This window comes from Homo sapiens, chromosome 16, assembly GCF_000001405.40.
Source record: "Homo sapiens chromosome 16, GRCh38.p14 Primary Assembly".
In the NCBI taxonomy this organism is placed as follows: Eukaryota; Metazoa; Chordata; class Mammalia; order Primates; family Hominidae; genus Homo; species Homo sapiens.
Window position 1 is genome coordinate 70774458 of NC_000016.10, and position 25293 is coordinate 70799750.

At 49.3% G+C, this 25293-nt stretch overlaps 1 protein-coding gene and 3 non-coding genes across 8 annotated transcripts in view; 1 reads left to right on the forward strand and 3 right to left on the reverse strand.

Annotated features, from left to right (window-relative positions):
- The window catches only part of VAC14 (VAC14 component of PIKFYVE complex), a 113720-nt gene that overhangs the window by 87019 nt on the left and 1408 nt on the right, over positions 1 to 25293 (reverse strand). For 4 of the 5 annotated variants that reach the window (NM_018052.5, XM_005256038.5, XM_011523225.4 and 1 more), the window contains exons 2-9: positions 11758 to 11908; positions 11245 to 11412; positions 10319 to 10381; positions 9656 to 9763; positions 8988 to 9097; positions 8576 to 8682; positions 7412 to 7546; positions 6333 to 6482 (exon numbers count right to left, since the gene is read on the reverse strand). In NM_018052.5, the coding sequence (NP_060522.3) occupies positions 6333 to 6482; positions 7412 to 7546; positions 8576 to 8682; positions 8988 to 9097; positions 9656 to 9763; positions 10319 to 10381; positions 11245 to 11412; positions 11758 to 11908 (992 nt within the window). The remainder of the gene's footprint in view (positions 1 to 6332; positions 6483 to 7411; positions 7547 to 8575; positions 8683 to 8987; positions 9098 to 9655; positions 9764 to 10318; positions 10382 to 11244; positions 11413 to 11757; positions 11909 to 25293) is intronic. The other variant, NM_001351157.2, reaches the window with a different exon arrangement.
- Positions 3754 to 3824, reverse strand: TRG-GCC3-1 (tRNA-Gly (anticodon GCC) 3-1). Its single transcript has one exon. It is a non-coding gene; the product is annotated as a tRNA-Gly (tRNA).
- Positions 4582 to 4652, reverse strand: TRG-GCC2-4 (tRNA-Gly (anticodon GCC) 2-4). Its single transcript has one exon. It is a non-coding gene; the product is annotated as a tRNA-Gly (tRNA).
- TRG-GCC2-5 (tRNA-Gly (anticodon GCC) 2-5) lies at positions 15050 to 15120 on the forward strand. Its single transcript has one exon. It is a non-coding gene; the product is annotated as a tRNA-Gly (tRNA).

Genomic DNA, 25293 nt, shown 5'->3' on the forward strand with positions numbered 1-25293 from the left:
TGACGCACAGTGTCTGCTGGGTTTCTCCCCTGTAAGGTTACTGTTTTTCTGTTTGTAATTAATAAATAACTTGGGGGAAGATACTTAAGATTGGAAAAATATTCTGTTTTCCCTCAAACATGTCCCCAGTGATTGACCGCAGCACTCAGGGCTGGAGCTTGCCTATAACAAATATTACTGTGGAATTTGCCTGATGGTGATTTCTGTCTCCCCTTTTCCTCCATTATTGACTAAAATTTTCTTTTCTCTTTCTCCCCCTCTCCCCTCTCCCCTCCCTCCCTCCCTTCCTTCCTTGTTTTTTTTTTTGATACGGTTTGACTCTGTCACCCAGGATGAAGTGCAATGGCATGATCTTGGCGCTCACTGTAACCTCCGCCTCCCGGGTTCAAATGATTCTCATGCCTCAGCTTCCTGAGTAGCTGAGATTACAGTGGCGCGCCACCATGCCCGGCTAATTTTTTTTTTTGTATTATTAGTAGAGATGGGGTTTCACCATGTTGGCCAGGCTGGTGTCAAACTCCTGACCTCAAGTGATTGATCCACCTCAGCCTCTGAAAGTGCTGGGATTACAGGCGTGAGCCACCATGCCCAGCGTATTGACTGAAGTTTTCTGTAAGGAAGAGCTGTCCCTTCTCCACCATTAATCAATTCAATTATTTATGTCATTATGGACTCCTGGATATTGATATTATTCCGTGGGTTACAAATCAAAATGATCATTATTTATATTGTTGTTCAAATGATACCAGCCTTGGCCTCTTAAAAGTTTTAAATTATACAAATATATCCTCATTCTAAAATTTTCAAACACAAAGCAAAACCTCTTTCTCTCCTTAATCTTCAATCTTACTTTTCTCTACCTGCCCATCACCGCTCCCCGGGGTAGGCAAGTCTCTTGTGCTGGCTTGTGCTGTCCTACTTCTTATTTTGTAAACATAAACGGGATCACAAAACTTATTTTCTGCAACTTGCATCTTTCACTCTGTCCTATGGCTTAGAGCAGTGCTATTCTAGGTGCGGGCCATAGACCTTTTCTCCTAGTAAAGGGGGCCTTTATTTCCATGTCTGTACTGCTGCCTGCCCCCTGTAGACCCAGGACGCAGCTCAGAGGGGACAGGGGCAGCTGTGGCAGGGGGCTGGGCCCGCTCAGATGCTCGTCCTCCTAGTGCCAAGGCCCAGGCAGCCTGGTGTCTGTCTGATGGACCAGGGCCTGGGGAAAGGTGAGGAAAAGCTGGGGAAAGCTGGGCAGGATAGACTGGAACAGCAGCCAGGACTCCATGCCCCTGGAGGGCATCTTTTAGAAATACCCACATTTATAGATGAAATAATGTGGCATCAGAAATTGGCCTCAAATTAATTTAGATTGTCTCCAGATTTTCACTCTTACATCTCTCCTGTGCTTTCATGCAGGGTGGGACTGCTGAGGGGAAGGATTGGGCACTTCTTATTTTAATAGGTATTGTCCTTTAGGTTCTACCAATTTATGTGTATTTCCAAATTGGAAGAGCAGTTACCCCTTCTAAAGCCTTTCTTCACCTGTACAATGGGGGTAATGACAGTACCTATACCCTAAGCTTGCTATGACAATGAATGAGCTAACATTTGTTAGGTGTTTAAAATGACACCCACCATAAGAACTATTGTAGCATTTTTTGTTTGTTTTTTAGAAATGGGGTCTCATTCTCTCCCCCAGGCTGTAGTGGCGTGATCATGGCTCACTGCAGCCTCGAGCTCCTGGGCTCAGGAGATCCTCCTGCCTCAGTCTCCCAAGTAGCTGTGACTAAAGGTGTGTGCCACCTCGCCCAGCTAATTTTTTAAAATTATTATTTTTGTAGAGACAGGGTCTCTCACTTTGTTGCCCAGGCTGGTCTCAAACTCCTGGCTTTAAGCAATCCTCCCGCCTCAGCCTCCCAAAGTATTGGGATTACAGGCATGAGCCACTGCACCTGGCCCATTTGTTACATAAAGGATTAATGGCCCTGTCATGGACTTTCACATTTTTCTTCCATTTCTTTCTTCTGACTTAAAAGAGCTCTTTCTTGTGTTTGGATACTAACTCTTTAATGACAAAATACATTGCAAATATCTTCTCCCAGTCTGGGCCTTGCCTTGTAACTTTTAACCTTTTTTCAGTTACACCAATTTTATTTTGTTTTGAGATGGGGTCTCGCTATATTGCCCAGGCTGGACTTAAATTCCTGGGCTCAAGGGATCCTTGTACCTCAGCAAACTGAGTAGCTGGGATTAAAGATACGCACCACCACACCACCTTCAGTTTTTAATTTAAATATGGTTTGTTTCAATTTTTTTTTTTTTTAATAATTTTTGCTTGTGGGTCTTGTTTAAAAAATTCTACCAGGTTTTTTTTTTTTTGAGATGGAGTCTTGCTCTGTTGCCTATGCTGCAGTGGTGTGATCTCGGCTCACTGCAACCTCTGCCTTCCAGGTTCAAGCAATTCTCCTGCCTCAGCCTCCCAAGTAGCTTGGACTATAGGCATGCACCACCATGACTGGCTAATTTTTTGTATTTTTAGTAGAGATGGGGTTTCACCATGCTGGCCAGGCTGGTCTCGAACTCCTGACCTCGTGATCCGCCCACCTCAGCCTCCCAAAGTGCTGGGATTACAGGTGTGAGCCACCGCGTCTGGCCCCTAATTTTTGTATTTTTAGTAGAGACGGGGTTTCACCATGTTGGCCAGGCTGGTCTCGAACTCTTGACCTCAAATGATCCGCCTGCCTTAGCCTCCCAAAGTGCTGGGATTACAGGCATGAGTCACCATGCCCAGCCATAAACATGTATTAAAACAACACTGAAGCACCCGTTAGTGTTTGTCATGTGCTAAGCGATTTACATGCAAAAATTTTGTCTGAAACACACAACCACACTATAGGTTAGGTATTACTATTGTTACCCTACTTAACAAATAAGAAATCTGAGGCTCAGAAAGGGTAGGCAGCTGTCTGAGGGGAACAGATATAAAGTCAGCAGAGCCAGGACTCATAGGCAGGTTGTTCAGACCCCAGAATCTCTGCTGCCATTCCTGAGACAATCAGGTCACGTCCTGGAGGGGACCAGGCTGGACACGCAAAGTGCCATAAGAGCTCAGAACCAGGGAAACGGCACTGTGCTGTGGATGGCCCCAAGTGGCAGGCCAAGGGGGAGTCGGAGCAAGTGAAGAGGCACAGATGAGGGGCTGCCCTGACTGGAGGTCCTGTGGTTAGAGGAGGAGGGAGAAGATGCGGAGGTGGGGCAGGGGTGCAAATATGCACACACACAAAGGTTCTTGCCCGGAGGTGTGCCATGAGGAACGTGGTGCTGTCGGCGGATCAGCACAAGTAAACAAAGAAGGCCAGGCATGAGGTCCTGTCTCCAGCCAGGTGGACCAGAGTGGGAACAGAGGGAGCAGAGAGGGAAGAGTGAGCAGGAGAGGCTGTGATGAACTTGTCCCTGACCAGCGAAGCTATCTGTCCTGCGGCTGGCAGGGACTGTCTCCTGGGCACCTTGGTAAAAGACTGGTGATTAGTTAGTTACAAGCTAAGCAGGGCTGAGAGTGGATGTAAAGGCGCCAAATTAGCTCTTACCATCTCTGGGAACTAGTACAAAGTGAGCTTTTCATCTGCTGAAATGCTGTTTATGAGGCAGTAAAATCCAGAGCCAAGAGGCATGAATGTATCCTGGTTAGGGTAATACTCTCCTGGGCAAGCAGCTGTGTGAAAAAATGCTTAGGAAAACCATCTAAAAAGGTAGATAGGCTGCACTGGCCGGGAATCAAACCCGGGCCTCCCGCGTGGCAGGCGAGAATTCTACCACTGAACCACCAATGCTCCAGCTGGTAGGGATGTTTTTAGTTGAGGCCACGACCCACAGGATGGAGTGGTTCCTTTCTAGCGGGCTTGACTTCTTGCCACATAAGCAGAAAGGTGGCAGGGGCTGTTGGGTTCTAATTTAGAGGAATAGGCACTGACTTTTTTTTTTTTAAATTGAGATATAATTCATATAACATTTCACATAACAAAAATTTCACCATTTTCAAAGTGTTCAACTAGGTAGTTTTTAGTACATTCACAAAGTTGTGCACCCATCACCTCTATTTAATTCTAGAACATCTCCATAACCCCAAAAAGAAACCGGGCATCTGTAAGCAGTCAGTCCCAATTCTCCTTTTCTTCAAACCCAGGCAACTGTTACTCTATTTTCTGACTATGGATTAAGAGGCACTGTGAACTTCAAACAAACAGAGCAGAAGGTGAAGCTGTGTTAAGTTCTATGATCTTAACTACGTATATATATTAAAAACTGGAAAAAATACATCAAAATTTGAACATTCATTGCCTCTTGGGGATAGTCTTGTTTCTTTGCATTTTTCTCTACTTTCCAAATTTTCTAAAATTAGAATTAGAAAACAAAAATCAAACACTCATATTTCAGTGAGAGGTCACAAAATATGTATCCCCGAGTCTTCTAGTTTCTCCCAGTAAAAAAAGCTCCTCCCTTTGAAGGCCCGCACTAGCTTATCCCTCCAAGTTAACTTATTTCTCCAAGTTTTCTTTTTCCAGGAGCTGCCAAAAAGCTTTCAGCTGCTGCATTGGCCGGGAATCGAACCCGGGCCTCCCGCGTGGCAGGCGAGAATTCTACCACTGAACCACCAATGCTCCAGCTGAGTGCTGTTCTGCCTCCAGCTGTTTTGTTGCTCTGATTCACAGTGGTGATGGCACAGCTGTAACCTGACACCTGAGATGGGTCCAGCATGGACAGCTGCTGGATTTTACCAGCCAAACCTATGGGAGGAGGTGGGGCATGCATGCTTGACATTCTGCTCAGCTGTTCAAAAGAAAAGTCCATGAATGGCAATGGGAGAATGCTCAGCAATTCTTTTGGCTCCTGTGGGCAGGTTCCAGACCTTACTCTGTTATCCTTAAAGATCTGAGTAGGCTTAGTCTTCCCTATAAAAAATTTCTTGACAAATTAGCTGAAACTGTCATTCACTTGTTTCTCTTGTTTTATGGCCTTGTGGGTTATTCTACTGAATGCTGTGATTTCTTTTACCACTGGTTGATTTGTCTTGTTTTGCTGTCTTGCCTCCTTGACTAGACTGTAAGCCTCTGGAGCACAAGGACTTTGTCTGGTAAACACAGCTTGATGTATAACAGATGTTTGCTAAATGTTAGATTTGTAATAAATGGAATTTAACTAGAAAAAAAAATCTGAGTAGGTTATATCTCAGTTTACTCTGGCTGCTTCGGCAAAGGAGGACATCAACCCAAAGCTGATCAGTGACCTCTTGGTGAGGACAGAGACCCAAGAAATATGAAAGCATCAGGGTTCTAGATTACATCTGGAGTCAAATTCCAGATGCCAGTCGGCATAAATGTGGTTTCTTTTTTCTTTTTTTTTTGAGATAGGGTCTTTCTCTGTTGCCTAGGTTGGAATACAGTGGTGTGATCATAGCTCACTGCAACTTCTGCCTCCTGGGCTCCTGGGCTCAAGTGATCCTCCCGCTTCAGCTTCCTGAGGAGCTGGGACTATAGGTGTGCACCACCATATCTGGCTAATTTTTGTAATTTTTTTTTTTTTTTTTTTTTGGTAGAGATGGGGTTTTGCCATGTTGCCCAGGCTGGTCTCAAACTCCTGAGTTCATGCAGATTGCCTCAGACTCCCAAAGTGCTGGGATTACCCAGCCCGGCCATAAATGTGGTTTCTTATAATGCAGTTTTCTTTACCTTACAGCTAAACAAGAAAATTATGTTAGAGGAGTCTGAAAGGAGAGCAGAGCAACTTCACTTTTTAAAGGCACTTATTTGGGCAAGAGAATTTTCAAGTACAGAATAAATCGAAGCTAGAGCTTTCTTAACCCTCCCACCCTGAGAATGACCCGCATGGTAAAGGCAGCCAGGCTTCTTGGTGGCTGGACGTCTACGGCCAAGAATCAAGTGCCCCCTGAATCCTGGTACTCCTCCCATGCTCCAAACCTTCCTGCCCTGAAAACAACTCTTTCCCGTGAATCCAGGAAAAAGATGAAGGAAAGGCTTCATGGTCTTTGAGGCAGGAAGGGTTAAGATCATGGCTGCTGGAGACAGCCTGCCTGGGTTCCAATCCGGTTCCAGTCTTCACTAGCTGCGAGTGTGTGGCCATGGTACTCAGCTTCCCTGTGTCCTGTCTGCAGAATGGGGGAGAACCACTGCTGCCACTGCGCTGGGTTGCTGCTACAATTGTGTGAGTGACATACATAAAGTAGTCCTGGTTGCTTAAGTGAGGCCCCAAGGCAACTCCTATGACATCTGGCTCCCTGGGCCCCCGACAGGAGGTGAGGTGTAGGGACGGAGTCCACTCACCACTGGCTGTGCCCTCCTGCTTTGGCAGGGCATCGTCAGGGGTGGGCTCTGCCTGCCTCTGCCCAGGTCTCAGCTCATCCAGCTCGTCGTCCTCGGGGGTGACCAGCTTCATCAGGCTCTGGTTGCACACGTTGGCCACTTCTTTGATGCCTGAGTCCACTGATGTAAGGAGCGTGATCTGATTTGGATGCCTGTCTCTCTAAATCTCTTGCTGAAATGTGATTCCCAGTGTTGGAGGTGGGGCCTGGTGGGAGGGGTTTCGGTCATGGGGGTGGATCCCTCACAAATGGCTTGGTGCCCTCCCCATGGTACTGAGCGAGTTGAGTGAGTTCTTGCTCTATTATTATTCATGAGGGGGCTCGTTCTTTCAAAAAGCCTCCCACCTCTCTTGCTCCCTCTCTTGCCATGTGACCTGCTGGCTTCCTCTTTGCCTCTGCCATGACTAAAAGCTTCCTGAGGCCTCACCAGAAGCCAAGCAGATGCTGGCACCATGCCTCCTGTAGAGTCTGCAGAACCGGGAGCTGAAGCAACCTCTTTTCTTTATAAATTACCCAGCCTCAGGTATTCCTTTATAGCAACGCAAAATGGGTTAATATAGAGTGGTCCCAGCCAGGGGAGGCTTCTCTGAACCTCGTATTCCTAGTCTGGAGCTCAGTCGTCTCAGGGCTACGTTAGGCAGACAGGCTGTCCGAACTGAGCCCCTGCTCTCCTTGTCATACTGGTGCCCCTGTGAAATGCGCCTATTTCTTCTCTTAGGACCCCTTCCTAAACCCTCCCACCAACAGGATCTCCCCAGCCCAAGGTGGGGCAGTATGAACTCAGAGGGTTGGAACTTTGGGGCCCCAGAGAGCTGCTCCAGATCTGCAAGTAACCAGGCAAGGTGTGGGGACAGCCAGCATCAGCCCCGGGTCCCTGGCTTTCCTAATCCACGTTTGGCTCCATCTCTTTTTCCCGAGCTGCTAGGGACTATGGAAGTGTGATGGATCCTAAGAGAGCCCCCAGCCCCCAGTGCAGGGTCCCTCAACTTCATAATCCCTTTGGGGCTTCTCTCAATTATTCTCTCCCAAAGCAAAGGATACTTTTCTTGCGGTCATCGTAGGCCAAGCAGGGCAAGACAGCAGTCAGGATCCCGGAGGAGTAAGGCAGCATGACGCGGCCCGCCAGCTGGATGAACTCCCGCATCCAGCACATGGCTGTCAGCTGGATGAGGTCATCTGGAAGGGGAATCAGGGGGTTCAGAGGGGCCAGCACACGCAGCCCGAGTGCTCCCTCCCATTGACCATACACGTGGGATGGGGCTGGCGGCCTGTGGAACCCAAGCGCCTGACGGCTTCCAGCCTCACCAATGCTCTACTACCTGTGTGCTTTGCCTTCCAAAGGTGGAGACACAGGCTGGGACGGAGCAACAATCCTGTGCTAGACTGTAAGGGCAGCCGCATCCCTGCCCCTCTGCACTGGGACTCTGCTCCTCCTCTCATCAAGAGTGGAATTAACTTCTCCACCCCTTGAATCTGGGCTGGCCTTGCTTCTTTGGCCAATGAGACGTGGTGGAAGTGATGATGTGGCTGGATCAAGCCTAGGCCTCAACAGGCCTTGCTCACTTCTACTGTCTGTCTTGGAATCCCACTGATGCCATATGAGCATGCCCAGGCTAGCCTGCTGGACGATGAGACATGTGGTCCAGCTGCCCCCATGGTCCCGGCATGACATGAGCCAGACAACTGCCAGACATAAGTGAGGCCACTGTGGCCCATCCACCCCAGCAACCCTACAGTTAACAGCAGGTACTTGATTGAGCCTAGCCAATCCTGGCCCAGGTGAGTGGAACCACCCAGGTGACCCACAGACTTATGATAAGTGACTGCTGTTTTAGGGAATGACGTTTTGTGGTGGTTTGATACTCAGCAGAAGTGAACAGATACATAATCCCAAGCTCCAAGCATTTCAAGTCTCAGGGCTAAGGCCAAGTTCACCAGTAAGGAAACCTCCAGATCTTACTCCACACAGGCCACACACACCAGGTGAAAGGACCTCTGTGTCTCTGTGGTGACAGAACCCAGACCTCCCTCTGTGAGACCCAGCACTCCACCTCTCCCAGGGCCCACTGTCACACTGGCTAATATTCCTACCAGGAATCTCCCCTGCCCCCTCACTGAAGCTGAGATGGTGAAAGGGGCTTCTGCAGAGGTGGCAGTGGCAGCAGCAGTGGCAGCCGTGGCTGTGGGCCCTCCCCCAATACTCACCTGTTGTCTGGCAGTGGATCACCAGGATGTTGGCCATCTCAGCAAACTTCACACTGGAGGGGTTCTTCTTAATTTCTTTTAAGAATTCTCCAAGAACAACCTCACACCTATGAACAAGAACAGGAAAGTGGAAACAGCGAGGGTCAGCCAGGGCTGGAGGAGCCTCAAACCAGCCCCATTTCCGTGCTGGGTCAGCCACCCAGAGGGCGGCTTGGCTTTTGGACTTGTCAGGTGATCATTTTCAGATGCTGGGGGTTGATGGGCTCTTGGCTCCTCAAAGCGGGAAGCACAAGAGCCAGGAAGAAGAGGTGATTTCCTGCCCTCCTGCCGCGGCCTCTCTGTGGGCATGAAGCACATGGGCACAGCTGGGGGTGGCAGGAGGCAGCAGCTTCCTGCCCCTTACTCCACTCACATTTTGCGAATCTCTTTGCCATTGTCACCCAGGATCTGGAAGAGTCCATCCAGGATCTCCGGCAGGTAATCCAGCAGGTTAATGTCTGGCACCGACTCCAGAACCAGGATCTGACCAGGGGAAGGGAACAGGAGGGGAAGTCAGCTCCAGAACCCTGTTTCCTGCTCACCAAGCCTCTGGGACTGGGCTGTAGGAAGGGGACCCTGCTGAGACAGCATTTCCCTGCAGTGCAGGTGTCCCATGTGGGAGGAGGGTGCTGGCAAGGACAGTCAGCATTTCTTGTTTAATGTGCAGGGGAATGGCAATTTGACTCTAAGGAAATTCGGATGCCCAGGGGAGAAGGGGATGGATGGGGAAGGACAGAAAAGGCTAGAAAAAGTGAGATTGCTGGAAGTAGCACTGCTGGCTTTAAAGGAAACTCAGGTGTTTTCTGGGACAAGGAAAGAACTGGACTCCCTTCCAGGGCAACAAGAACCTGATCCCTTCAGGGCCAACATGGTGGGTTTCGGGGGCAAAGCTGAATAAGGTGTTTTTGAATTATCAGGTGTTAATGGCTATTCAAGGGAGAACATGGAGGGTTCCTATAGCCAAAGGGCCTGACAAGAGTGTGCTAGAGAGCAGATTTTCCAAACTGGAGGCTGGAGAAACGGTGTCCGGCCAGGCCTTACCCAGGAGATGATGAACTGCCGGGCATACTGGTTGTTGGAGTAAATCCTCTCTCGCAACAAGGGGATGAAGCTCACCAGGTCAAACTTGTTGCTCTCAGTCACAATGTCCTGTGGATCAGAGGAAAGTGAGCTGCCGAGAGCCCGAGACCAGGGCTGCCTGACCTCGCTGAATCACTTGCCCAGGGCTGGCTCCAGCGCTCAGGCGGCCACCAAGGAAAATGGCAGATCCTGAGCTAGGCATAAGAGGTCTCTGGAGTATTCATCCTGTCCCAGTCCACGGGATACGAAAAACGGGTAGATTGAAAGCAGGAAGCAAAGTCGAGAGAACCAACTGAATGGCAAGACCCTACTCTCTGTGGTCTGGATGGAATGCCCAGGCCCCTGCTGTCAGGGCCAGAGAGGTGTGGAAAGTGACAGGCAAGCTTCTTTGCTCTAGGTGGCGGCAACAAAAGGGGACATTTTGGGTGATGGCACAGTTCTGTATTTGATAGTGGTGATTGAGCTCGATATTCTTGTCATAGAACTGCACACCAGGGAGTACATGTAAATTTAAAATATATTTTAAATTCAAGAAGAACATTCCCAATGACAGAATTTCTAAGCTTTACAGACAGACGGGAGAAACAGATTGTAGAAATAAAAGTGGGGACAAAGTACAAATACCTTTAAAAGGCGGTCTAGGAGCTCAGATCCGCTTTTCACATTGGGGTCTGGGTCGGCTGCCAGCTGCAAGAGGCACAGACAGGGGAGGGACACAGAGGCGAGGGTCACGGTTGGATGCAAGACCAGGGATTTCCTGCAAATCCGCAGCCGAGGCCTTGGTGCAGCCCAGAACATCTAGCAAGAACATCACCCTTTCGGTGAACACATTTGAGAAAGGCTGGGAAAGTGGGAGTGGGTACAATGGAGTTGGCTGAGGAGCAGATTCAGGAAATACCCTTCTGTTCAGGGACTTCTCCCATGACCCGCTGGGGTTCCTGTTCCCTGTTGTGACTGGGTCACGGGGTTGCTTCCCGTCAGCCTTCCCCAGGGGTTTCCAATCTTAAAGCGCTGGGTCCTTGTTCCACTCCTGGAGGAGGGGACAGGGTAGCTGCGAGGCTGATACTCTAGAAACTTCCGTGGCATTCTGCAGGGGCAGCAGCATTGCAGGGCTGCTCCGCGCCTGGGAAGGGAACTCCACCAGGCTGCAAGAGGCACGGAGGAGAGCATGAGCTTTTTCTAGGGCACTTATGAGCTAGACTAAGTGCAGCCCTCCCTAAAGGGAAAGTACGGTCTGGATGATGGCGTCAGCATCATCCCCTTCTACCAGGGAGGCGAGTGTTTCACAGACTATCAGCTTCTTCCCTCTACTGTATGGCAGACTGATACTTATATCAAATGCAATCAAAATGAATTAAAAGAGAAATGAAAAAAGGTATAAATGCAAGTCCATTAAAAATGATTAGATTCAACAGACAGTAAGTGTCCCTTGCAGCCACATGCTTGTTTGCTCTGCTTGCATCTGGGAAAAGGGGTCCAAGGTTCCAGAAGGTCAAGTGAGGTGGGGGAACCAAGCGCAGCTCAGTGAGGAGGAGGAGGAGGGCGGTTACCTTGCTCAGCCCGTCAAAGAGCACGTTGAAGTGGGGCAGCACAGCGCCCCGGGCCACCTTGACGATGTTGTAGAGGGCCTCGCAGGCATAGTAGCGCAGCCTGCTGTCTGCATCATTGAAGCAGGTCAGCACTGGCTCGATCAGCTCCTTCAGGTAGAGCCCTGAGTCCTGCAAGGAGGCAGGAGGAGAAGACAGATCAGAATGGGTTGGAGCCCAGGCCCTGCAGCCTGCAGTGCCAGCTGACATCCCAGCTCCCTTGAAGGTGCTCAGGCCTTTGTGTGAGGGCTGGGCTCAAAGACCCTTCCCAAGCCTCATTCCCAGGAGAGGGCCCATGCCTAGGGGACCAGGCTGCAAGGCCGCAAAGCCAGCCTTGCTGGTCTCAGGTGCGGACAGAGTGGTAATAAAACATAGGTCTGCAATGCCCTACTGGGTCTTGACAGGGAAGGCATCGGGATGGCTTGGTCAGCGTCAAGGCCAGGACTGGTATGTCTGTCCCTTGGGTGAAAGGCCCACCTTGCCCAGTGCGATGGAGCAGGCGGCCAGGCCGATGAGGCCCCCTTTCCGGCTGTGGGGGTGCTGAGACAGGGCAAACTCCTGGGACAGGGTCTGGATCACATGCTTGATTTGCACGGTATTGTTCTGGGCCACGAACTCCCGGACCAGCCTGGAGAGAGAGGAGAGAGGGGCTGTGGGAATCAGGCTACCTCTGCTGTGGCCTCCAGGGCCTGGGGCGGCAATGAGGAAGGGAGATGACCTGTTTGGAAAGAGGAAATGGGAGACAGGCGTCTCAGGGCAGGTCTCAGTTCTGTTGCTGGCTGAGTCATCGTTGTTTCCCTATTCTGGGTCTCAGTTTCCCTTTGTGTACAATGGAATAAGGAACAGTGGTGCTATCTCACTTCTGGGAATCTGAGAGAATGCAAATCAATGTGTCACTGGGGACCAAAAAAGTGCAATGCATTATCAGTTGATCAACTGTCTTTATTCAACACTTACTCAGCTTTCCATTCGTGCATCTCAGAAATTCTCCGCGTCTGAGCGACTATTTCCAGGGACGTTGCTGGGACACATAGCTGAATCAGGCCCCAGTGTAATGGGTAAGAGCCACATGCCAACAAATAATTGTAGCAAAGTGGCACCAGTGATATCACAGAAGCAAGAAAAGGCAATGGGCTCAGTCTCCTCGGGCCGTCCAGGAGGGCTACAGGGAGGTGCCGGCTGAGTCAGATCTTAAAAACAGTAACAGGCACTTTCCAGGTAAAGAAAGGAAGGCAGAGCACCTCGGGCATAGGGAAGAGCCTGGCCAAGGCCACGCAAGCTGACATGGCATATCTGGGACAGGATGAGGGCTCCAGCGTGTGGAAGGAGTGGCTAGAGACAGGTAAAGAAAAGATGAGCCGGTGAAAGTTTTCCAGCAAGGGATGACACGCTCAGCCCCATGTTCCAACTGGACATCTCTGGTGGTGGCTTGGAGAAGCTGGGCTGGGGCAGGCATGGGTTTGACGGGAGACTGATGCCGGGGACGTTCAGGAGAACACTGTAGCTATGGGGTAAGGTGGTCCTGAAATGTGACTGAGGCAGTGGGAAAGTGCAGCAGGGACTGTTTCTAGAATTAAATGGAAAAGCACTAATAGCTGATATAAGAGGAGAGAGGAGGGTAGGGTAGACAGTGCCCCCAGGTGTCTCCCTGGACAGTGATGCTGACAGGGAGAGGAGCAGGTCGGAGGGAGGCTGCCCTCATGGGAGGGAGGGGCTGCTGGTCACCCAGGGAGGATGACTCCCAAGGCAGGCCCTGCCCTGAGTGGAGGAGCTGAGGGAGGCCTGGCTCCACAACAGACTAGTCTGTTTTCAGAGCCCCATGGACACAAAGGCCAGGCCTCTGCCCTCCCAAATCTCACATGGCATGTGGTGGCAGGAGTGCCCCAGATCACTGATGGAGGAGAGGCAGCTGGGGTGGTCAGGGGAGTTTTCCTGGAAGTGGGATGGAGCCGGATCTTCAAGGAGGCAGAAGGGAAAGAAACGGGCCTTCCTGGCAAAAGGAACCCTGGTAGCAGAGGTGAGGATGCGGAAGTAGCCAACCTTGTCTGGGGCCCCAGAGAACAGTACAGCAGCGGGATGGGCTGCTGGTGGTAACTGGGGAATCTCCAGTTAGAAGAATAGATTTCATGTACCAGGGAGCTGGGCATATGAAAGACTGTCTTAAGGAGCCTGGAGATGCTTGTGAAATGAGGACAGGAAGCGTGAGGGATGACACTGGTGGAGCCACTGAAGGTGGAAAAAGGGCAGTCTAGAGACCTCAGACTTTAAAAAGTAACTGCAGGCACTCTCTCTCCTTGCTTTGCATCAAATCATGGCAGGTATCTTGCTCACCTGTTCCACAAATGGGGTCTCAAGTTGACTTGAAGAATTTTAAGAACAGTCATGTCCAAAAGGTGTCCATTAGTCTGTGTGGTTCCAGCTCAGGAGCTTTCTAATAGTTAGAGCTGGGACTTTCTAGTAATTAAAACCAACGGTGCTGTCCTGTGAGACAGTGAGCACTCCGGCAAAAAGGCTGTTCAAAGAGGGACCGGGCAGTGGTTCGGTAAAGATTTAATACAGCCAATCATATGGAGCACCTATCATGCGCCAGGCACTGTTCACGCAAGAGGTGACAAAATAGGTCTCGCTCTGGGCTGGTGGACGTTGGAGAGGAGATGGATGCTTCAGGAAGGAGCTGTACAAGTGGCCTGTGAGTTGCCCCTTGCTTTCGTCTTTATGGGACTGGGACTGTGGATGAACCCAGGGCCTCTGGATAGAATGTGAACTCCAGTTCATAGGCCTCAACTCTCAAAACAGCGTACTAAGGCCTGGCAAGGATGGTTCTACATCAACTTGTTTGGTCTCCCAAACTGGACAAACCAGCCAGGTGAGACCCAATCATCTGGCAGAGTGCCTAAGTATTGACAGACACAGCCCCTTGCCAAAAGCCCTGCAGATGCTCTACCAAACAGCTGGAGCATTGGTGGTTCAGTGGTAGAATTCTCGCCTGCCATGCGGGCGGCCGGGCTTCGATTCCTGGCCAATGCAATGAAGTGTTGCTTTTTCTGCCTTTTGCTGGCCAGTTTTCCTCACAGAGAGATCCTGCTAGAGGAGCCAGTCAGTCCCTCCAACTACACCAGACCTGCAGCAGCCAAGGGTGCCCACAAATCTGGAACCACACTTCCCTGCTAAGTGCACACATGAGAGCTGCTGGGTTCTCCAGAGAAACACTCACTATGGCTGTGGAGCCATGAACTTGATGCCTTCACCTTAAGGGGACTCCTGTTGTGCTGTCCTCAGCCTTGGCCAGTCTTCCGCAGGAAGCTGGCATGAAACCTGAGAACAGTAACACAGTTTAACACAAGACTAAACGCAGAATGTGGTGGGAGGACTCAAACAGTAACAGTTTAACACAAGACTAAACGCAGAATGCGGTGGGAGGACTCAAACAGTAACACAGTTTAACACAAGACTAAACACAGAAGGCGGTGGGAGGACTCAAACATCAGAGGGGGAAAAAGCCCCCCAAAGTTTTAATATACTTTTGCTACCAAGAAAGACTCAAGCTCTAGTTTCTGTCACAAGGTCTGAAGGCAAATCAACTGGACACGCACACCCTCCTGCTTCCTGCCTTCTCCCTCCTGCTCTGCAGCCTGAGTGTTCCATTCTTGCAACTGTGCTGATGTGGCAGCATCAGAGACTGGCTTCATATTCTGTTAATCAACTTATATGCAAGGAGGCCCAAGAATGGGGTTAAAGGGAGGTGCGCACACAGCTGCTCACATCTGGGGCATTGGTGGTTCAGTGGTAGAATTCTCGCCTGCCACGCGGGAGGCCCGGGTTCGATTCCCGGCCAATGCAGCAGCAGACCTTTAGTTTAATCGTGAGAGACTGAATTTGAGATTTCACACTGCCTAAAGAATTTATAAATCCACTCTGAGAACTGAGAATGACTTGTTTCTAGTTGGATTTCAAATGCCTTTGATGAAAACACTTATTTTCCTAAATTCTGCAAAGATCTAGAACCTGGTCTCCTTGTTCTTGAAGAATCCAGGATGTGGGATGCACCTAGGCCCGCTAAAGCAGCTGTGCCTCCCCACGCCTGCCCAGGAAGCCAGGACATGTTTCCGCTTGGCACAAGTTACAGCGACACTAGGAGTGGGAGTGGGGACATCCTCGAGGCTTCAGCAAGGGGTCCAAAGGAAAGCCAACCTGCACGGCAGCGAAGGCCACCCTGGAGCCACCTCCTCTCCTGTCTCCTTGTTTCAGGTCACAAACATTCCCCGAGCAACTGGACAGGAGACTCCTCCTGTGCGATGACCAGTGGATGAGAGCTATTCCCTGCCCCCAAGGAGCTCTCTGCCAGCGTGGGAAGAGGAGGAAAGAAGAGAGGGCTTAAGGAATACTGTGCAAACAGAAAAAACACTTGGTAAGAAGGGCATGAGGTGACTCGGGGCAGGCCAGAAAGAGAACGACCCGTGTCTGCCAGGCAGGGATGTACTAGGGCTCTATAAGGGTCAGCATTGTAGACGGGTTTTGAAGGATGAGTAGGTGTTCGTTCTGGAGCTGGTTAGGATGAGGCTGAACAAAGGCTCAGAGGAAGGAGGAGCAGGCATTTGGTTTGGCAGAAAGAAAAGCCACAGGTGGAGGGGAAGTAGGTGACAGGGTTGGAAAAGCTGCTCCCAGTCATGCAGCAAGGGACCCTGGACACTTGGCAAAGGCACTGGCATTTAGCCCCGGTGGATGTGAGGAGCTGCAGAAGACCATGAGCTCGCACGTGATGTGAACTTTAGGAAGGGCAGTCTGCCCCAGTGGGTGGTATGGGTTTGAATGGCACTTAGGAAGCTTTGAAGAGTACGAGGAAAGTGGCTCTGATGTCGGAGTGACAGCCTGCAAAAGTAACAGGGCCTCCTGAGGGAGGCAAGGGGGATTTCTGTGCTGGGCGTTCCCTCCCCACCCCCTCACCTTTGCAAAGAGCAAATGTCTTCTTGCTTGGCACCAGCCGGAAGGCCTCCCCCACCAGAGTCCTACTAGGACTCAATTCAGAGCACCCCAGGCCACTACAAAAATGACAGCCCATTCAGGCCCTGTGGCCCCAGGAACTCCAAGTTTCTACTGTTTCCGCCCCTGCACTTAAGGGTAGAATATTCTTCATCTCCAGGAAAACAGGCGTCAGGCAGACAAACAATGGCTGGAGGGAAAACCATGGAACACGTCCTTACCAATATGTCAGTCTGGAGAGCACCGGGCCTGGGGTCAACCCCTGGGCCACCGGCAGGAAGAATCTGTTCCACGAATCAAGCCTACCCTACTTATCTGACACTTGGGGCAAGCAAAACAGGGCCAGGCCGACCTCTGACCTCTGCAGCCTTCCTGCTGGGCTCCCAGCACAGGCTTCTACTCCAGCCAGGCCTGCCTTCTTACTGCGCCCTGCCTGGCCCATGCTGCACCTCCCATCTGCCCACTCTCTAGAAAAGCTCCTGGTCCCTTAAACATTCTACCCAGCCCTCAAAGTTCAGCTCAAATCCAACCCCCTGCCTTTCCTGATGATCCCACGAAGTGAGCGCAGAAGGACTCAGGACCCCTCATTCTGTGCCCAGCAACATGTTGTCGAATGTCAGCAGGTAAATTCCTTCTAATTCCTTCTCATGCGTGATTCCTACCTCCACAACTTTTTTTTCCCTTTGAGACAGAGTCTCGCTCTGTTGCCCAGGCTGGAGTGCAGTGGTGCGATCTCGGCTCACTGCAGCCTCTGCCTCTCAGGTTCAAGCGATCCTCCTGCCTCAACCTCCTGAGTAGCTGGAGTCACAGGCGCCTGCCATCACGCCTGGCTAATTTTTTCTATTTTTAGTAGAGACGGGGTTTCACCATGTTGGCCAGGCTGGTCTTGAGCTCCTGGCCTCTAGTGATCCGCCCACCTTGGCCTCGTAAGTGCTGGGATTATAGGCATGAGCCACCATGCCTGGACCCTCCACAACTTCTTGATAAAGTCCTTGAGGACTGGCACCATGTGTCTGCATCTCTAGCACTAGGCCTCTCTCCGAGTTCAGAACTTTGAGTGCAGTAGGTGGGGAAACACTTGTCAAGACGGGCAGGGGTGACAGGCAGCTTGAGCTGTGGGGAAAACCTGGGCAAGACCCCACACTGCCATATTGGTGACATGGGAGTGCTTTGCAAACCCAAACCTAACCTGCTGGGTTAATCAATACTGCATTTGGACGGTCCTCACCCTCTACTCTTATAGTCCAGGTTAGCAGGAGCAAAGGGCACCATTACTAGGACCCAAAAATGCACATCAAGAAGGGCTCAGGTCACCAGAGCTGTGGCTGCTGGCCGGGGAAAGGTGCACCGGCTTGGATGACGCCTGAAGGACAGGTGAAGGCGTCCTCTAACCCCTCGCTAGGTGCTCCAGAACTGCCCTAGTCAGCCAGCCTGTGGTGTGGTCTCTACTTCACAGGGCAAGTGCAGAGACAAAAAAAGAAACTACAAGGGGAAGCAGAGTAAGTGCAGTTGAAAACCTGGGCAGCCCCAGTTCCAGGTTTAGTGTCTCTTCAAAAGACCACACTATCCCTCCTTTCATCTACAGGTTGGGAGCCAGAGGTGGGGGATCTGAGGCTGAACTAGTTTTGAAGTTAGTATCTGGCCCAGAAACTCTCACGATCACAAATCCCTGGAGACCTTCACTAATGTGAAGGGCATGGACATCGCTGTCTTATACACCAGAGCAGGGATCCACTTCTGCCTGGTTTCCTCCAAAAAGTGCTAAAGAACCCTGGCTGGAGAGGTGTCCTCTAGAGGCTGCTCAGAGCCTGGGTTCTCAGCTGGCCAGTGGCATTGCAGGATGGCAGGAACACCCATTCCCCAGAAGATACAAGCCCCAAGGGGGGCCAACATCATGCTCTTGACGCCACCCTCAATGTCTCAAAGACTGCCACACTGACTACCTGACAGGAGAAGCAGCCATGGACACTGCAAGACACATCTGGACTTTCATGAGCCAAGGGAGAGCCTGGGGCCATCCAGCACAGCCACAGGACCCCTTAGCTTAACTCTGTACCACAGCACAGTGACAGTCGCAAGAGACTGTCACAGGTCACATGAGGACTATTGAGTTGACCACTTCCTAAGCACTCACACTCTGCTGAGTATTCCAGGGGTCAGTTATTCCCGACGATACCTCCTGCTGTAGCTATTATTATTTCACTCCCATCTTCCAGATCTGAAACAGTAAATCAAGCCCCTTTCCTACGGTCACCAAAGGTCTGAACCCTTGACATCTACCAAGTCCATATCCCTTCAACTATGTCACAGTCCCTCCCTCCCATCTCCCTAAGCCACTTCAGCTGCAAACCAATTGCACCCAATTACAGATGGCAATTCCCTTGTGCAGAACTAAGGCCCCCAAGTGAAACGTAGCTTTCTCTATACACTTTCACACAGTGCTCGGTCATCGCCAAGGCACTCCTTCCATACACAGGGAGTACAGAGGAGGTGCCTACTTGAGATGTTTTGAAATGAGGCTCTAGCGCTGGTCTTCTGTGAACGCAGGACACAGTGAGTAACCATCAGCTGAGTACTTACTATTTGCCAGGCAACGTGCTGCATGTTTACATACAGGGTCTAATTGAAACCTTAAAACAAGCCACTGAGTTAAGTACCATTACACCCATTTTACAGTTTGTGGAAACTGAGGCTCAGAGAAGTTAAGAAATATACACAAAGTCATGCAAGTTGTAGATGATGGATCTAAAAATCAAATCTAGGCTTTTCTAACCCCAAGATCTAAAATCTTATCCACTATATTAGACTAGCCCCTCCCCAAATAGCACAGCTACCACCAGCTGGGTGCCCACTGTGTGCCAGGCACATGATTTCATTTAACTCCAATCCCATGTCATTTGGTGATGGCCCTATGTCCCAACCTCTGTCCTAGGTGGCAGAGGTTTTAGCCACTGAACTCAGGTTCCCATGTGTTCAGAGGGAACATCCTCAGCTGTAGGTGGGTTAATCATGACAATGACTTTACAGGGCTTTTAGAGAATTAAATTAGGTAACTGCATTCTGTGCTCTGTACTGCACATGCTCAAATAACAGTATTAGTGCAAAGTCAGAATCAGAGACAAGCTGTGATCTTATACATAGCACACGAGGTTGTGCTCATTCCATAAATGTTGGCTGGGCACCCACCAACCAACCTAGGTTGGACCTAGGAATGAACTGATTAGAAATGAGCAGATATGACGTAGGAATGAGCATGTACTGAGCATACAGTGGATCCAACCAGTGGAAAAAACTACAAAGGAGAAGCAAGAGTCAGTGACAGCAGGAGGCTTGTTTTGATCTCGGGTGACAGTAGTTGTGACTACTGAATAAGTGCTTCCCTCAGACTGTAACAAAACAGCACTAATTTAAATATTGGGACACAATTCACATACCATAAATTCACTCTTTTAGAGTGTAGGTGTCAGCAGCCTTTTGTATATTCACGAAGCTGTGCAACCATCACCACCGTCAATTGTAGAACATTTTTTTACCATCCCCAAAAGAAACCCTGCACCCACTGGCAGTCACTCCCCATTCCCCCGCGCCCTAGGCAAGCCCGAGTCTACTTTCTGTTTCTATAGATTTGCCTATTTTGGCCATTTTATACAAATAGAATCACACAATATGTGGCCTTTTATGGTTGGCTTCTTTCACTTAGCATAATGTTTTCAAGGGGCTTTTTTTTAAAATAAGAAAACTGAGGCACAAAGAGGTTAAATCAGAGATCATAAACTCAAATGCCCACACGGGCCAGGCAGGAGATATGGGGGAAGCCAGGAGGTAAAACAGGCTCTGGTTAATCTGCCAACAGGTGGCAAAGCTCCCGACGATTTGCTTTGCAGGAATGCGGGCCCCCAAAGCCACATCTCCCAAGTCCGTAAGATAATCCAGAAACCTGAATTTCACTGTGAAATTTCTCAATTTAAAATACTTTGTGATCCAGGCCAAACCAAACAGGTCTGCGTGTAGGTCACAGCCCCCAGGGGCCAGCCTGTGACCCCGGAATTAAACAATTTAAACAGGGTCCCACTGCTGATAAACAGCCAAGCTGGGTGGAATTCTGACCTGCACTCCAAAAATTACCTTGAGCCACTGGGTAATAAATACAGTTATGTGCCACATAAGGACATTTTGGTCAACAACAGACTGCATATTCCACAGTGGACCCGTAAGATGATAATGTTATATTTTTACTATACTATTTCTATGTTCAGATATATTGGGGTACACACATACCACTGTGTTACAACTGCCTAACTATTCAGCAGTCACATGCTGTGCAGGTTTGTAGACTAGGGACAATAGGCTCTACCATATAGCCTAGTGTGTGGCAGACTGCACCATCTAGGTTTGTGTGAGTAACTCTATGTTGTTCACACAATGATGAAACTGCCCAACAACACACTTCTCAGAATGCATCCCCTGAGCCGGGCGCAGTGGCTCATGCCTGTAATCCCAGCACTTTGGGAGGCTGAGGCGGGTGGATCACGAGGTCAGGAGATCGGGACCATCCTGCCTAACATGGTGAAACCCGATCTCTACTAAAAATTAAAACAACAACAACAACAAAAAACAACCAAAAAAATTAGCCGGGCGTTGTGGTGGGCGCCTGTAGTCCCAGCTACTAGGGAGGCTGAGGCAGGAGAATGGCGTGAACCTGAGAGGCAGAGTTTGCAGTGAGCCATGAGATCACACCACTGGACTCCAGCCTGGGCGACAGAGCGAGACTCTGTCTAAAAAAAAAAAAAAAAAAAAAAGAATGCATCCCTCTGAAGCGATACATGACTCTGGCACCTTCCCCACAGAGGTGGTAGGCTCCGAAGAACCAGGTCAACCTTCACCTGTTCAACTTTCACCTGTTCACAGAGCTCCAGGGACTCGCCTCCCCCACAGCCAGCAGGCAGGGAGGCGTGATTCAGGAGCTCTGCTCCCAGCAGCCCTCCCTGGGGCTTTGGGCTCTCAGGGGGCATGGCCTGGGCCACCTAGCAGGAGAGTTACATTTGCTGGCTTTGAACTCAAAGTTCAAAAACAAGATCAGGTGCGTTCAGGGAGGTAGAACCACAGATGGAACTCAAAGCTCAGGACCACTAGAGACTTGACCATGAGTGGCGCTGTCTCTCCCAGCCAGCAGTGAGACAGTGGGGGCCCTGCCTCCATGATGCCTGGCAGAGCGAGCACCCACCACACTGATCAGAGTGCCTGCTAGCATTTCTCCCCCACATTAGACTCTTCTGGGAAGACAGCCTGGCATCTTCCCACCCTTTTCATTACGACTGATCAATGACTATATTAAAATTGAAAACCCACAAAACCGGCAACAGCCATGATAAAAATCCTAACCTGACTGCCTTATCCTATAGGAAATTGTGTGGTCCTGTGGGAATAAGGTTGTAGGGGCAAAAGTTCTCCAGAACTTTGTACAACTGGATCCCAACACTTAGACAGTTAGTGTGGTCACTTAACACCACACTGGTGGTCTTAAGATTCTGGATCTGGGGGTCCTTCAGTTGAGGCAAGCATCCATCTCTGCATTTTTAGTGTCTGAGAGGCCTGTCATCATGATACAATCCCCTCTTATTAGTGGTTTTAATGCCTCACTGGAACACCATAGGCAGGACTGGCTCTGTCACCTGAGCTCTGTAGAACTGAAAGTGGCAGCTAAAACCACTGTGGAGAATTTCAAGTATCAAATTCCTTTTATTATAAGTATGTCCCCTTTCTGGTAGGGAAAACCAGTCATGCAGTGGGGACGTCTTCTGAGACACATGAACCTGAGTTTTCTTGCTAGGTTCTAGCTGTGAAACCATGGGAAGATTACTTAACCTCAAGGAGCCTGTTTCCTCATCTGTGAAACAGGGTAACACCACCACGCCCATAGGGCAGCGATGCAAAATAAATGAGATGAGGGGTATACCATGGCCAAACCAAAGGAAGCTTTTCTATATCCTCCCAACCATCCAAAATGGGGCAGACAGCACTTTATATACGTGCACTCCCAGGCTTCACTATGATCACTGTGATGGACTGAACAGTCCCCCAACCCCCAGATTCATATATTGAAGTTCTGATCCACAGTGTGACTGGATTTGGAGAGAGGGCCTATAAGGAAGTAATTAAGGTTAAAAGAGGTCCTAAGGGTGGGGCCCTTGATTCCATAGGATCAGTGTCCTCATAAAAGGAGACACCAGGCTGGGGCAGTGGCTCTTGCCTGTAATCCCAGCACTTTGGGAGGCTGCAGTGGGAGGATTGTTTCAGCCTAGGAGTTCAAGACCAGCCTGGGCAACATAGTGAGACCCCCATCTCTATAAAATAAATTAAAAAATTAAAAAAATTCAAGAACAACGCATTTGTTACTATGGGTCTTACTGAGCTAAAATCAAGATGTTGGCAGGCTATGTTATTTTGTGATGCTCTAGGGGAAAATCCATTTTCTTGCCAGCTTCTAGAGGCTGCCAGCATTCCTTGGCTGGTGGTTCCCTTCCATCTTCAAAGCCAGTGATGATCCGGGTAAGTTTTCTTACATCACATCACTCTGACACTGACTCTTCTGGTTAGGGTTACATTGGGCCCACCTCGATAATACAGGATAATCTCTCTATTTTTAAGGTTAGTGATTAGCAACCTTAATTCCCCCTTGCTGTGTAACATAACATATTCACAGGCTCCAGGGATTAGCATGGGGCAAATATAGGAGGCTATCATTCTCCCTACCAAAAAGTGGTAACAGCAGTACTGACAGATGACAACTATGTGATATACGTATGTTAGAAATAATTAGGGCAATTACATAACAATTCTCTCTCTATGTATACAGTTTGTAACAATTACAATGTGCCCACTACTACACTAAATACTTGATATGGTTTGGATCTGTGTCCCCACCAAATCTCTTGTTCAACTGTAGTTCCCAGTGTTGGAGATGGGGCCTGGTGGAGGTGGCTGGATCATGGGGGTGGATTTCTCCCATGATGATGAATGGCCTAGCACCATCTTCTTGGTGCTGTTCTTGTGATAGTGAGTTCTCAAGAGATCTGGTTGTTTGAAAGTGTGCAGCACCTCCCTGCTCACTCTCTTTTGCTCCTGCTCCCGCCATGTGGGACGCCTTGCTCCCTCTTTGCCCTCCATCATGATTGGAAGCATCCTGAGGCCCCGCCAGAAGCAGAAGCCGCTATGCTTTCTGTACAGCTTGCAGAACCGTGAGCCAAATAAATCTCTTTTCTTTATAAATTACCCAGTCTCAGGTATTTGTTTATAGCAGAGCAAGAACAGACTAACACAGCACTTTACAACATTAGCTCAAACAACTCTATGCATATTATTATTATGCTCTTTTTACAGATGAAGAAATTGAGGCACAGAGGTTAATTAGCTTGCTCAGGGTCACCTAGCCAGTAAATGGGAGCTTGAACCCCAGTTCCAGAGCCTGCTCTTAAACACCATGCCACGCAGCCTCTCAGGAAATAGGGTATCTTAAAGGGGCAACTTACCTAAGAACAGGACTAAGCACTTTCATTTAGGGAGCACATGAACTGACTCATTTACACTACATAGATAACTGCCAATATTCGGACTCTTCTTTTGTTGGGCATCTGCAGTCTGATTAATGAGAGATTAATTAATAGTCTGTGTTTGCTGAGGGTCACTTTGACCAGGCCAAATGAAGAATATATTAAAACATACAATATCCTATGTGTACCTGACACATAGAAAGTGCTCAGACAAGCAAAATGCTGGTGCTGGTGAAGCACAGATAAGTAAGTCAGTATCTATCTCTAAGCAATTTGTGAAGCATATGTTCTGAGGAAGGCATTGAACTAACCAGCCATTCTTCATTCTAAGCATGACTGGAGAAGGTTGGAAACAGATGAGAGGGTCTTTGAGGCCAGTGCTTCTCAAACTTTAATGTGCACACAAATCACCCAGGGATCTTGTTAAAATGCAGATTCTGATTCCATAGGTCTGGAGCAAAGCTGCAGAGCCTCTAACAAGCTCCCAGGTGATCCTGATGCTGCTGTCTGTAGGCCACGCTTTTGGGCAGCAAGGTCCTGAGCCTGCAATGTTATTTCCCCACCGAAAATGTACGGTCATTCATTTATTCGGACACCAGCTGTCAAGTGCTGCCAGGCTAAGTGCTAAGGATAAATAAAACAGATACATAAACAGAACTCTCTGCTCTTAAGGAGTTCACAGTCAAGGCACTGCTGAGTTTCTCTAAATTCCACAAATCAAGGGCAATGTCCAATACAAAATGAACTCGATCAAAGACAAAACCCTTACAGAACTGTGTGCAGAGTGAGAACAGATACACAGGTTGCGCTGGAAGCAACAATAATGTTGAGATGAATACCTCTCTCTTCAAGGACTCAACAGACGACTCAAGCTACAATAAAACCGGATATTCCTGAGAAGCAGAGTGGGTGAGGGACAAAACTAGGTGTCAAGGCAACTTCAAAGCCAACAAAACCCCATGGACACGGAACCATGCCTATATATCATTTCTGGGTCCCTCTATTCAGTATGGCAATGTGCAATAAGACTTGCTAGCATTCGTGAGAGTCAGGCATAAACAAAAAGCTATATAAAAGGAGCAGTCAAGAAAGTGGTGTCTGATGAGAGAAGCAGCTAGATGGTTGTGGACATACTGAGTATGAGAGCTGAATGGAGGCAGGGTGGGGGATTTCTTATCAAGGTCCGAACCCTTTAGTTTAGGAGGAAACTAAAATCCAAAGCAACATTTGATTTGGATTGCAAGCAGCAGTTGTCAACCGGGGCAATTTTGCTCCTTCAGGGGACATTTAGCAATGTCTGAAGACATTTTTGATTGTTACAACGGATGGAGTGCTACTGGCATCCAGTGGGAAGAGGTCAGAGACGCTGTTAAAAATCCTGCAAGGCACAGGACAGCCCACTACAACCAAAAATCATCTGCCCCAAAATGTGAATGGTGCAGAGGCTGAGAAACCCTGAGTTAAGGAATTTGCCCCAGGTTAA